This window comes from Homo sapiens, chromosome 8, assembly GCF_000001405.40.
Source record: "Homo sapiens chromosome 8, GRCh38.p14 Primary Assembly".
Lineage (NCBI taxonomy): Eukaryota > Metazoa > Chordata > Mammalia > Primates > Hominidae > Homo > Homo sapiens.
Window position 1 is genome coordinate 19,937,152 of NC_000008.11, and position 13,753 is coordinate 19,950,904.

A 13,753-nucleotide genomic window follows, 5' to 3' on the forward strand; every position below is an offset into this window, starting at 1 on the left:
GAGAGAACGTTGCCGCCACACCCACCTGCTCCGCGCTGGCCCTGGGAGAGGAGCCAACCTGTCTTGCTTTTTTTTTTTTTTTAACCAGGCTAAGCTGCTGTAAATTAAGTCTTCCTGGAAATCTCAGCAACTCTATTGGACGTGCTAATGGCACAGTTCACTCCAAACTGGATTCATATTTAAATATTACATATCCTCCAACTCTTGAGTGCTTTAATTTTGTTATCTGGTTAGCCTGGGAAATCATTTTAAAAATACGCTATAAGTATCAGACTTTCCCTTAGCAATTATATAAAATCTCCTTGCAGTTTTCTGAAAGGCACAGAAGTGCAGTTTGATTTGGTTGTCTTATCAAAGGACATTTATGCATGAAAATAGGCTGCAGGAGTATTCTATATAAGATAGCAGGCAGTTCTGCACGTCTGTTTATATGCCATTCACACCATGAACACATCCAATGCAATTGTATTCATCTTCTGTCATTTTTTAAAATTAGAGTTTACTACATGATTTTTGGAGGACGGCCATATCATAGTTATTCATCCCTTGCATGGTCTGTTCTGCCACTTCTAAAGTTCTGCGAAGTTTAATTTTTGGCAGGTTTCAAGATTCTCTACATACTTTGTAGGTTAGAGTGAACGTGCACAGTATATTGTGTAATAATTGCAATACAAGACGGTGTGTTGTGTTGTGGCACGGAATGCATCAACTTAAAGATAGAATTGTTATGCAGAATAGAGACCTTTGAAATATTTGGGTATTATCAACTTTTATTTCATTTTTTGAGAAAAACTTAAAAAGTGAGCCCAGTTTTTTAAAAAGCATTTCATTGTTCTAACCTACAATTGTGCATTGTATGTTTGTGTGTGTGTGACGGAGGGTGGGATGAATAAAAGGGGACATTAAAAATATTCAGACCATAAATATAGTAGATTGGAGGTTCTGATTTGATGAGCCAGTTTCTCAGCCATAAACTGAGAGGGGGTTGGGGATACACTTCATTGTCCTTCCTGGCTAATGTAAATCCCTTATATTTAAAAAGATATTTAAAAGTATTCCAAGCATTTTGGCAGAAAAGCATAGTATCTAATGTTATTTTTTTCTTATTTTATGTGCATGCCTCTTATCCATTTAAAAATAGCTTTACTGACCTATAATTTACACACTATATAATTCTCCCATTGAAAGTGCATAATTCTGTTGCTTTTAGTATATTTACAGAGTTGTGCAGCATCAGCATAATGTAATCTAGAACATTGTCATCAACTACCCCCAAATCTCTATTCTTCCCTTCCCCTATTAATTACCCAGCCCCAGGCAAGCACTGATCTACTTTTGGTCTCTATGGATTTGTCTATTTGTGGACACTTTAAATGGAATCATACAATATGTGTCTTTTGCGACTATCTTCTTTCACTTATCATAACTCAATACGGCTTTAGATTATTTGACCTCGATGTTCTGCCTCTGAACATAAAATATTATCCTTGCATTCCTTGATGAGTTTGAGGATTGAGAATAATTTGCATGAGACAAAAATTAGAAACTAGTTAGAGCAAGTAGGCTTTTCTCCATCACATAAGCTGATCCATCTTGCCAATGTTAAAACACCAGATTGTACAAGCACAAGCTGGGACGCAATGTGTGTCCCTCTATCCCTACATTGACTTTGCGGGGGTGGGGATGGGGTGCGGGGTGAGTGAGGGAGGACTGCAAGTGACAAACAGGATTCGTCAAAAGAGAGGTGTATTAAAGTGCCGATCAAATGTAATTTAACAGCTAAACTTTCCCTCCTTGGAAAACAGGTGATTGTTGAGTATTTAACGTGAATCGATGTAAACCTGTGTTTGGTGCTTAGACAGGGGGCCCCCGGGTAGAGTGGAACCCCTTAAGCTAAGCGAACAGGAGCCTAACAAAGCAAATTTTTCCGTCTGCCCTTTCCCCCTCTTCTCGTTGGCAGGGTTGATCCTCATTACTGTTTGCTCAAACGTTTAGAAGTGAATTTAGGTCCCTCCCCCCAACTTATGATTTTATAGCCAATAGGTGATGAGGTTTATTTGCATATTTCCAGTCACATAAGCAGCCTTGGCGTGAAAACAGTGTCAGACTCGATTCCCCCTCTTCCTCCTCCTCAAGGGAAAGCTGCCCACTTCTAGCTGCCCTGCCATCCCCTTTAAAGGGCGACTTGCTCAGCGCCAAACCGCGGCTCCAGCCCTCTCCAGCCTCCGGCTCAGCCGGCTCATCAGTCGGTCCGCGCCTTGCAGCTCCTCCAGAGGGACGCGCCCCGAGATGGAGAGCAAAGCCCTGCTCGTGCTGACTCTGGCCGTGTGGCTCCAGAGTCTGACCGCCTCCCGCGGAGGGGTGGCCGCCGCCGACCGTAAGTTTTGCGCGCAAACTCCCCTCCACCTGCAGACCCGGCGGGTGGCCACTGCCACCCGAACTGAGGATGAGAAGAAGGAAGTTGGAAGGGGCGGTGGATGCGCCCAGGGACTCTCCCAGCCTGGGCTCTAGCCCCGAAACGGTCCCCGGAGTGGGATCCAGGAGGGGCCGGGAGGGAATCTCCTCCCGATCGTGAAGCGGCGGCGCCCAGTTCCCGCTTTTTCTCTCTGCCGGGTTCCCGCGCTATCCCTTCCACTCTGGCTGGGACCGCGTTCCCGGGCTCGCAGGCTCCGCCGGGGAGGTTCCGGGGTGTGGGGGCCGGGACGGCGGAGGCGGGGAGTAAGGGCCCGGCTGGCGGTGACCTGCAGTCACCTCTCTGCCGGAGGGGCCCTGGAATGAAAGGCGCGCGGGCCAAGGTGACCTCGCCTTGGTTGGCACTGCGGCTCAGCCCCCGCCCGGGGACTCGCGGGCCGACTGTGGCCCCTTCTGGGGAAGCCGGGGCGCGGGGAGGCGTTCCGGGCATCTCAGCCGCACGGGGTACGCTCGCCCTCGGCGGGGCCCCTCGCTCCGCTGTGGGAGTGGCAGTGGGTGTCGGGGTGGAGAAAGTACGCGTGGCGCGGAGTCCTGGGGACGCGGCGTCCCACCCGCTCTGGGGAGCCCCGGACTCTCTCCAGCTTCCAGGCTCGCATGCCCCTCTTTTCTTAGTGCCCTGAGAACCCAGCGAGGGGCTGACCCTCCCGAAACCGTGGCGCAGCCACCAGCAATCTGTGGTCGCCGACTCGGGGGGTTGCCAGGTCTGCGTTTGGCCACCCTTTCTGTCCTGGGGGCTGAGGTCAGCTCCGGGCGCCCGGCCCCGCCGCGCGGCTGCGAGCACGTGGGGTTGACGGGCGCCGCGTGGAGGCAGCGAGCACAACGGTGGTCACCGCCGCCAGGGAACCGCCCGCTCGCTGGGGTCCAGGCGTTCGGGGCCAAATGAGAATGTCTCAGACCTGTCCGCAATGGAGGCAGCCTGCTTAATTCGAACCTCGATTCAGTAAACATGCAACAGCAGCATAGAGAGCAGCTGAAGCCATTCATAACACGGGACAACATTTCCTTTTTTCTTCCATGCTGGAATTGCAATTAGGGCGGTGTCGCTTGGATGTGCTCTCAGGCGGCACGTCCCCAGCGGTTCAAGTTATAATAGAGTCTCTCCATAGCTTTGATGGCCGCTAAACGTTTGTTTTATTTTGGCATTAATTTGTGAAACATTTTTGTTAGGTTAAAAAACAAAAAGTTGGCAGGGAGCAGTGGCTCACCCATGTAGTCCCAGCACTTCGGGAGGCCGAGGCCGGAAGACAGCTTGAGCCCAGAAGTTCGAAATCAGCCTGGGCAACATAGGGAGACACCGTCTCTATAAAAAAAAAATACAAAAATTAGCCGGGCGTGGTGGCCTGTGCCTGTGGTCCCAGATAGTCAGCAGGCTGAGAGATCACTTGAGCCAGGGAGTTTCAGTAGACTGCAGTGAGCTGTGATTGCCCCACTGCACTTCATCCTGGGTGACAGTGAGACCCTGTCTCATAAAATTAAAACAAAACAAAACAAACACTAAGTATAGATTCCATCAAAGCAAAATTGGATAAGAAAAAAAGTATCTTTTCTATTGGATCAGTTTGAAAACACTGGAGAGTTGATGAGAAAGTCTTCAACATCTTAGGTGGGGTATGTTTCGTATGTTTCCCTTCGTACTGCTTAATGCTGACAAGAAGATGGTAGGAGCCAACTCCAAATTCTTATTTCAGAAAGCACACCATAGAATAACGTCATTTTCATTGCAAAACAAGCACCGAAATATGTCATCACATTCAAGTTTTTCCTAGGCTCCCTTACAGGTTCAAGATCCTAAATTCTTGGGAGTCAGTGTCACCTCTCTGGGTTTAGGTTCCTCAACTCTGCAATGAGTTTGGATGAGGCCAATGTTCTCTGAGCCTGGTGTAACTCTTGCCTCTTTAAGTGGACACTTATGTGATTAATTAGTTTAATTGAGTTGTAGCCAACACATGCTTTTCCTAGCTGTAAATATATTAAGGAAGGATTATTTCCAAGTAGACTGGAAACGATGCCCTCCCATCCCCTCCACTTTCACTCTACTCACCCAATATATCATGCCTCTCCCATCACAGCAACTTTCTCCCTCTTTCTCCTCCAGATGCATTCATCTAGGAAGGTAAGAATTTCAGGGAGAGAAAGATGTCACCGTGGTAGAAAGACAGGGATCACCTCCTCTGGGCTCTTGAGTTTACTTATTCATTCTGGATTCTTTCTAACAAGAATATGAGGACAAGAGGCACTGTCCTCAGGCACTTCGTCCTGGGAGCCACCACCATCTCTGCATGGCCCCAATTAGGAAACGTGAAGAGCTAGGAGAGGGAGAGTATGGTCAGTGCTTAGCAGCTGAAGTTCCACTTGCCTGGCCATCGTGAATTTCCAGGCTGTCTTCTGAGTTGAACATGATGGCAAAGGAGAGCAAAATAGCAGATGTCACTGAAGGAGAGCTCAGCGAGGGAGTGATTGATTAATAGCTGTATTGAAAGGTGGGAGTCAGGTACGGGGGAAGAGCGGCGATGGAAAATTTTCGCTTTCTTTCAGCAGCTTATTTTTAACTCAGCTTTCTGTTCTTGCTTTATTATGGAGGAAAAATTGGGCCATAGAGTTTACTGCCTTATGCCAGATTGTTCAAGAAAATGCCTTGCAACTTACAATATTTTGCAGCTAGTTTCTTCCGTGACCACCACAAAGACTGCATTGACTTAAATATGAAGATGTTCCAGCCATCAAAATGATGGTTGGTGATGATTTTGGATCACAAAGTGTAAGGAAAGTATTCAAGACATGAGTATCATGATTTTTTAAGGTCTGGATGAAGAGACCATTTGGATTTACTAATAAGGTAAATTCCAACTTTTATGGCAATAAAAACAACAAAAACACTTATCAGTGTAAAGCTTTGGGATCATCTATCCATTAAATGAGTTTGTCACCACAGTGAACTAAATACCTTTTATCAACAGAGACTTTCTAACCTGGGAGTAAAATTCTTGTCACAGTGCTTTTGTCACATTCTGTCTTTGCAAAAGTTGAAGGCTCCAATAGTTTCTGAAGGACTAATAGGATAGGGTTCCAACTTACTCAGAGGCTAAGAGTTTGAAATTTACTCTGAACGATGTCTGTTCACTAGACTGCGTGACTGCAGTTTGCTGTCTTGTGGCCATTTTAAGATTGTCTGTGTGCACTGACACCATTTGCGTACTCAACAACAGGTATCTACTAGGAAGGAAGGAATGGATTATCTTAGGTGCTATATATATATGTAAGTTCTGCCGGAAGTGAGCCTATTAAACTTGTGCCAATTCATTCCTTTTGCTCTTCCCAGTCTGTGCTCTCAGAATGATCAAATGCTATCTAAGTAGTGTGGTGATTTTGACTGTTTGAATGAATAAACGAAAACGTCTCCCACCATTATTTGACAGTAGAATAGAACAAAGATGACCCAGTTGGCGTGGCCACACTGTGTCTAATCCAGCCACCTTGCTCACAGCACTCAACCCACTTTGGTGTGTGCGCTCATCTGTATTTTCGTAAATGTTGAAGTCTCTTTCTATGCAGTCAGGTAGGGGTAATACCATTCTGGCTTGGATTAATTTGAGTGTAGTACAAAGTTTAGAGAAGCTTTTAAGTAGCATGAAAAGTCAGATGCTTTCGGAGGGATGGTGGTGAATGTAGGTAAATGGATCTGCACTTAGAGATCCTCAACAGCCCTTCATTCAAGATACAGCTATCATGACATCAATAATGTACCTTTGAAAAAAAATTGGCTGCAGAATTAATTACGGTGAAAAACAGTATAGGAGTTAGCACTTACATTTTAACTAAAAAGAATAGCGTCCCCATGTTTATTCAGCCCTCCCTCCAATAAAACAATTGTTGGCAAAGTAATCATGGACTTTCATTGTGTTAGTTTGAGACAACTGGATGTTTCCATTTGCCATCCTCAGCAACAAGAAGAAAGTAGTCTCAGATTAACCAGGTAAGTATTTTGTATTTCACTTAAAAAATCTTGACTGAAATATGCCTATGTGATGACACTCAACCAAATTATTTCATTAACCAGTCCACAAGATCTCCTTAAATAATGATGGCTTATTCACACTTGATGGTCTCATTCAGTGGGGCAATTTTAATACACATCTCTGAACCTATTTTTTAACCCCTCTTTTTCAGTAGTGTGGAAGGTTAGCCCTAATATTGGAGAAAATTCAGGGTAAAATTCAGATGATTCATACAGGATTTATTTTTCCTATTCCATTAATAAAACAACTTTTATAAAAATAAAAAGTAGGCTGGCACAGTGGCTCACTCCTGTAATCCCAGCATTTTGGGAGGCCGAGGCGGGTGGATCATGAGGTCGGGAGTTCAAGACCAGCGTGGCCAGGATGGTGAAACCCCATCTCTACTAAAAATACAAAAATTAGCCAGGCGTGGTGGCAGGCACCTGTAATCCCGGCTACTCGGGAGGCTGAGGCAGAGAATGGCTTGAACCCAGGAGGCATAGGTTGCAGTGAGTCACGATCGTGCCACTGCACTCCAGCCTGGGTGACAGAGCAAGACTCCGTTTCAAAAAATAATAATAAAATAAAATGAAATAAAGTAAAGCTGCATGTTAGAGAAGTCAAGAGCATTACTTACGTTAGAATATCTGAACAGACCAATCAATTCAGTCTGATCATGATATTGATGTTTTTCTTCACCAAATCGACCACATCAGTAATTCACTTTGTTCTTCGATATCCTACAGACACTGCCTGAGTCGATAACTATGACTATCAGTCTCAGAGAGCAAATGAATTACTGAGGAAGCCCTGTAGGAGTGAGAGAAAAGGGGGGAGAGAGAGAGAAAGGGGTGGGGGGATAACAGGAGAACAGAAATTCCAAAGAGAATTGCATTCTCATTGAGTTCTTGTACCTCATGTCATTGCATAAATGTTCATCTTACTCACGTGATGACTTTGATCTGCCTTTAAAGCACCATCTGCTGCTTTCCTGGGATGCTCAACACTTCCCTCTTTCTAGCAACAAGAATTACCACTCTTCCCCTCTATACATTTATCTTTCTCTACGTGCTTTAACTTCTCAGCCTAATTTCGTCTCTGTGAGTTATTATCTATGTTAGAATAAATTCTTTGTCTTTGTTTACACACTCAGATTTGTAGTTATTTATTTAGGAATTTAGGAATAAAGATTCCATAGTCAGGAAAGGCACAATTTATAACTTGCGTGTTACCCAAAACTCTCCCCTAAGGGCTTAATATGGACATTTCTGACGAGGCCTGATGGGCAGGTGGTACGGTGATGCTAAGTTAAATTCAGAATGAAGGCCTGCCTTTCCTTCCCTCCTTCCTTCCCCTTCCCCTTCTTCCTTCCTTCCTTCCTTCCCTCCATCCCTCCCTCCTGTACTCCTCTTCTTTCTCAATTCTAAGGTGGCCTTAATTTCTAAGGGACATGGCAAAAGACAGTCTAGTTGGATGAGTGCAGTCACTAATATTATTTCCATGTATGGAAAATAACTGTTTCCTTAGTAACAATTGCATCAAATCAGTTCACCTGCTGCCCAATAGCAATCACAGGATGCATTGGGACAAATAAATATACTGACTGCCCCACAGCCACATGGTCTAAGTCAGTTACTGGAGAGCTGACTGAAGTTTGGGAAGCATATTCATCTTACGACACTGAGACATCCTCGGGGGGTTGCAAACACAGGTAGTGTGAAAATTATCAGAACATCCAAGAAAAGGAAAGTTTGACTAAGTGCCGATAAGATTTATGATGTCATGTCTGACATAGAATTGAAACCATCACAGAGCACATAGAGTGGTATATTTTCCTGTCAAATGAAAATCATTTTCTTTAAAAGTGAAATGAAAGTCTCTAAATACAAATTTACTAGAGGATGTGTAAATTTCCTACTTTTCATTACATACTCTGGACCCAACAGAGGGAAATTGGAGCTGTCAGTGAGCCATACATGCAATCTGGTACAGGATCTATGGATTGAATAGACTTTTTTTCATGGAACTACACAAAGCCAGTCTTAGTCATTTCAAAGAAAATTTGTGGTCATTTCAAAACCACCAGCAATTCCAGGGACACCAAGTTGCATAATTCTAGGGGAAAGTGGACTAAAAGTGAATGGCAGCCTCTGGAGTTATACTGAGCATTATTCTTAAAATGTCAATTTGGCAAATAGGTGGTAAGCGAGATCTGTCTGCCAGATTGTTCACATCATCTCTGCTTTAAAAAGATTGATCATAGAATATGTTAAAATAAGACCTGTGGAGAGGAGGTATGAGCTATTTAAGGTGGAAAGGTGTGGGAGAGGGTGAAATTAGTTTTAAATTTTCTAAAGCACTTTTTAACAGGAAAAGAAGTTCTTGGGCACTGAAGGCAGAATTAGATTAAAAGTATTCAATACTCTTCCATTATCAGAGAAATAGTAAAGCTACTAGAGTGCTTTCTGGTTGGGAAGGAAGAAGGCTACCAACATCTTCAAATAAAGATGAGAAGTAGAGCATATTCTTGGTGGATGAATGGATTCACGTGTACTTTTACTATATGCAAATGAAAAGAGCTTTAAAGATCAATAGTTTAGCAAGACTCTTATTTGAATAAGTGATCTTGGAGTGTTTACCCATTGTAACAAAACTCCTTTTCTCATAATTAGAATCATTAAGAAATTTCTCCTACATTTTAGATGACGGAGGTGTGTGTGCACGTGTGTGTGTATGTGTGTGTGATCAACTCATTGCATATTTCTTAAACCACAATATTGTTTAAGGAATTTTAGAAAATAATTACTCAATAGGAAAATGTTGGCCAATCCTCAGATATTTAGATAAGGCTGATTCAAATGCCTATTCTTTCACTGTTCTCACTATGACACTCTTATTTTTATTATTGGCCTGACTTCCGCAGTTATTTTGAAGTTACAGATTTTTAAATTTTGAGTTGAAAAAAAAGAGCAAATTTAGATTAAGGAATGAGAAGTAGTCCTCGCAGCCTCATGAATCTCCTGAAATTTCGAACGGCAAAATCTAAAATCTACAAGTTATTACCTTCTTACAGTAAATAGGTGGGTGTTATGGGTCGTTTTCTTTAACTTCTTTACTTGAAAAGGAATTAAATGATTTCCCTTTAACATAACTTCCCTTTGATTGTGCTCTGCTTCATGAAGTCTGATTTTATTTGCAATATAATTTACTTCAACTATTCACTGTACCCCATGAAGATTCAGCAGCATTTATAACTATTGTCCATAGTTTCAAAAACTAGGTTGTCTTTCTCTTCTCACCAAGTTTGGGATTAACTATGAAGAACCAAAGTGAACCCTTTCAACAACAAGGTTTGCTGTGGTTTTCAAGTTTTGCCTTTGTGTGGAACATTGTAATGACATAGTGGGAAAAGAAATATTTGGGGAGAGAATTAACCATGGCTGATACATAGCACGGGTATTTCTGAACAACCTACTAAATTATTTCTTAGAACATTTTGAAGTATATCTTGCCATAGGAGTGGGAACAGTTTCATACAAAAGCCTCCTCATGCTTCCAACTTTTCTTTAAAAAATTTTTTTTAAATTATTTTATTAAAAATAGAGGCCCGGCCCGATGGCTCACACTGGTAATCCCAGCACTTTAGGAGGCTGAGGTGGGCAAATCACTTGAGGCCAGGAGTTTGAGAACAGCCTGGCCAACATGGTGAAACCTCATCTCTACTAAAAATCCAAAAATTAACCAGGCCCGGTGGCTCATGCCTGTAATCCCAGCATTTTAAGAGGCTGAGGCGGGTGGATCACTTGAGCCCAGGAGATAGCGACCACCCTGGGCAACATGGCCAAACTTCATCTCTACAAGAAATACAAGTTAGCCTGGCGTGGTGGCACGCACCTGTGGTCCCAGCTACTCAGGAAGCTGAGGTGGGAGGATCACTTGAGTTCGAGGGTGCAGTGAACCAAGATCGCACCACTGCACTCCTTTGGCCTGGGACACAGAACAAGACCCTGTCTCAAAAAACAAAACAAAACAAAACAACCCCCCCCCCGCCCCACACACACACAAATAGTGGAACTATAGCACACAAGAGCCATGCATGAGTCAGTGTTCTCCACGAAAGCAAGCTTCAAAGTGGAACTGAGAGACCGGGCTCTGATCCTCACCCTCCCACTAATACCAGGGTAGCCTCAGCCAAGTCACTTAAATTCATGTCTTGAGAGAAGACAGAATTAACTAAGGAATCCCCAAACAGCAGTTCCCTTAGTTGAAATCACAAACGTACACACACATACCCTGACTAAGGAGAGCTTCAAGAAAGGCTGGAAGACTTAGGAGAGGTCAATGGTGACAATCTTAATTCAGAGTTAAGGTTGTCTCTCTGTCAACTTTGCTCAACGTTGGAGCATCTGTTGTTCTCTTGCAATCCACATTCGTTTTCGAAAACACTTCAGAAACAAAAATAGCATCAGCGGTGGTTGCCTGTGAACCTAAAACATATCATTCCAATGAATAAAATCAAGCAACCCTCCAGTTAACCTCATATCCAATTTTTCCTTTCCAGAAAGAAGAGATTTTATCGACATCGAAAGTAAATTTGCCCTAAGGACCCCTGAAGACACAGCTGAGGACACTTGCCACCTCATTCCCGGAGTAGCAGAGTCCGTGGCTACCTGTCATTTCAATCACAGCAGCAAAACCTTCATGGTGATCCATGGCTGGACGGTAAGGGAGGCTCTTTGGGGAAGAGTGGATTGGGGTGGTGAGGTATCCTGACTGGCCTGCCCAATTGTTGGGGACCCAGTGATGGGTCCGCACCCCACATCTCACGTGGATCTCCTTACACTTGAATAAAGACAGTTCTGGCTCAGGTGGGATCTGAAGCCACAGGTTCATGAGAACTCCCCCTAGGCAGTGCCAGCCTTCATTTTAACACTGTACCTGGTTGGTGCCCTTGAGCCAGAGCTTCCTGCGAGGTTGGTAAAGGATGCTCTGCCCAGCTACTGAGCAGAAGATAGGTGATTGCTGTGGGGAACCGGTGGAACCCTGGCATGATCCCGCATCACCCAGCACATTGCCAGGAGAACCTTTCTAAAGAAGACAGCATGGAAGAGTGAGGAGAGGGCTGGAGTGGAGTGAGGAAGTGTGGCGTCCATGCTGGCTTTGCCATTCTCCAGCTCTGTGCTGTGGATCAAGTCACTTGTCATCTCTGGGCCTCCATTTACTGATCTGTAAAGCAGAGGTTGCACTAGATGTCCCTAAAAACACTCTACTTCCAAAATTTTCCAGTTGTAAACTTTAGGGAGCCTTTCTGGAAATTAAAAAAAAAAAGGGCTGGGCAGGGAACTGACATGCTGACATGCCAGATGATTAGAAAAAGTGAAACTGTGATTAAATTTACTTTAAAAAATTGTTAAAAGTCCCCTCTCTAATATGTCACACAGTCACTTTAGATTATGTAGTTCTTGCTTAGTTTGTTTTAAAATGTTTCAATCCCAAGTGAGTAGACTGTGTAATTTATTTAAAAGGATTTGTGTAAAATGGCTTGTTAAAGATATATTATCTATCCATTATGTCAGAGCTTGTGAATATTATAATACTAATTTCTAGTGAGAACTAACTAAAAATAACATTCATCTAGTCCACATTTCTTTTCCTACATAATTTAAGTGGCTTTGTTATTGACTGAAGAGGACAATCGCTACAATTTTTATAGAGATGAGACTACTACTAACAGAATTCACACAGATGTTTAACAAAATATAGCCATTTACTATGTTAACATAGTAAATTCAATATTTTGTGATAAAATCTCAAATTCCTAAACATAAATCCTTTAATATTTTAATAGGTGTAAGTAGGAAAAAGGAATCTTTTTCTTTTTTGAGATGGAGGCTCACTCTATTGCCCAGGCTGGAGTGCAGTGGCGCGATCTCGGCTCACTGCAACCTCCGCCACCTGGGCATAAGAGATTCTCCTGCCTCAGCCTCCCGAGTAGCTGGGACTACAGGCGCCCACCACCACACCCGGCCAATTTTTATATTTTCAGCACAGGCAGGGTTTCACCCTGTTGGCCAGGCTGGTCTCGAACTCCTGACCTCAAGTGATCTACCCACCTTGGCCTCCCAAAGTGTTGGGATGACAGGCGAGAGCCACTGCATCTGGCCCAGAAAAAGGAATCTTTAGAGGCCCTTTGGTTATATACAGAACTTGGATTTTAAAATTTTTCAAAAAATCTGAGCTTAATAAACGCATTTATACAACAGAAATAAATTGAGTATCTCAGTCATCTCAATCTTATCCCTGAGAGAATTTTATACTTTGGGAAGTTGTGGGAAAAAAATGGTTCTTTTTCATACTAAGATGACATGACCAACCCAATATCAACAGACGGTGCCACTTCCTATCATTGGTCCTACTGCCTCACTAAGCCCACCTGTATCTTTCACATCATGTGTCCTGACATTTTGAGTGCTTGAGCACAGAGACTGCTGTCTGGCTGTGGGACTGAGTTGGGTCTGTGCAAGAACTAAGCCAGCCACACTGATCTTGATTATCTCAGTGAACTCACTGGCAGGGTCAGGTGGCCCACCTGGTATAGGCAGCAGGGAGGGCTTCAGTTCAGCTGCGTGTCTGAAAACCAAAGATTTAAAACATAGTAATTATTGAACCTCAGAAGAAAAACTCAGATTGAAAGAACTTAGAATAAGACCCTTTTTGAGTTGAGAAAGGTGAGTACTTAGATTTTTCATTTGCTTTGTTTGGGATTACTTACATCAGTATTTTATGTTGATCAGAAAGAAAGGATTCAATTAGCTATTGTTCGGTTAATAAAAATGTCAGCCACTGTAGGAGTAAGTTGGATGTCCAGCCTTTTTAGATTGCTTAACTTGGAAACACTGGGCTGGGAGCGGTGGCTCATGCCTGTGATCCCAGCACTCTGGGAGGCCAAGGCAGGCAGATCACTGGAGGTCAGGAGTTTGAGACCAACCTGGCCAACATGGGGAAACCCAATCTCTACTAAAAAAATACAAAAAAATTAGCCAGGTGTGGTGGTATGTGCTTGTAGTCCCAGCTACTCAGGAGGCTGAGGCAGGAGAATCGCTTGAACCAAGGAGGCGGAGGTTGCACTGAGCTGAGATCATGCCACTGCACTCCAGCCTGGGCGAGACAGTAAGACTCTGCCAAAAGAAAGGAAAGAAAGGAGGGAAAGAAAGGAAGGAATGAAAGGAAGGAAGGGAAGGAGGAAGGGAAGGAGGGAGGGAGGAAGGAAGGAAGGAATGAAGGAA

At 43.6% G+C, this 13,753-nt stretch overlaps 1 protein-coding gene across 1 annotated transcript in view; it reads left to right on the forward strand.

Moving 5' to 3' along the window:
- LPL (lipoprotein lipase) overlaps positions 2,102-13,753 on the forward strand; it is a 28,007-nt gene continuing 16,355 nt past the window's right edge. Inside the window, exons 1-2 of the mRNA NM_000237.3 lie at positions 2,102-2,377; positions 11,029-11,189. Coding sequence (NP_000228.1) covers positions 2,290-2,377; positions 11,029-11,189 — 249 coding nt within the window. The 5' untranslated portion in view covers positions 2,102-2,289. The remainder of the gene's footprint in view (positions 2,378-11,028; positions 11,190-13,753) is intronic.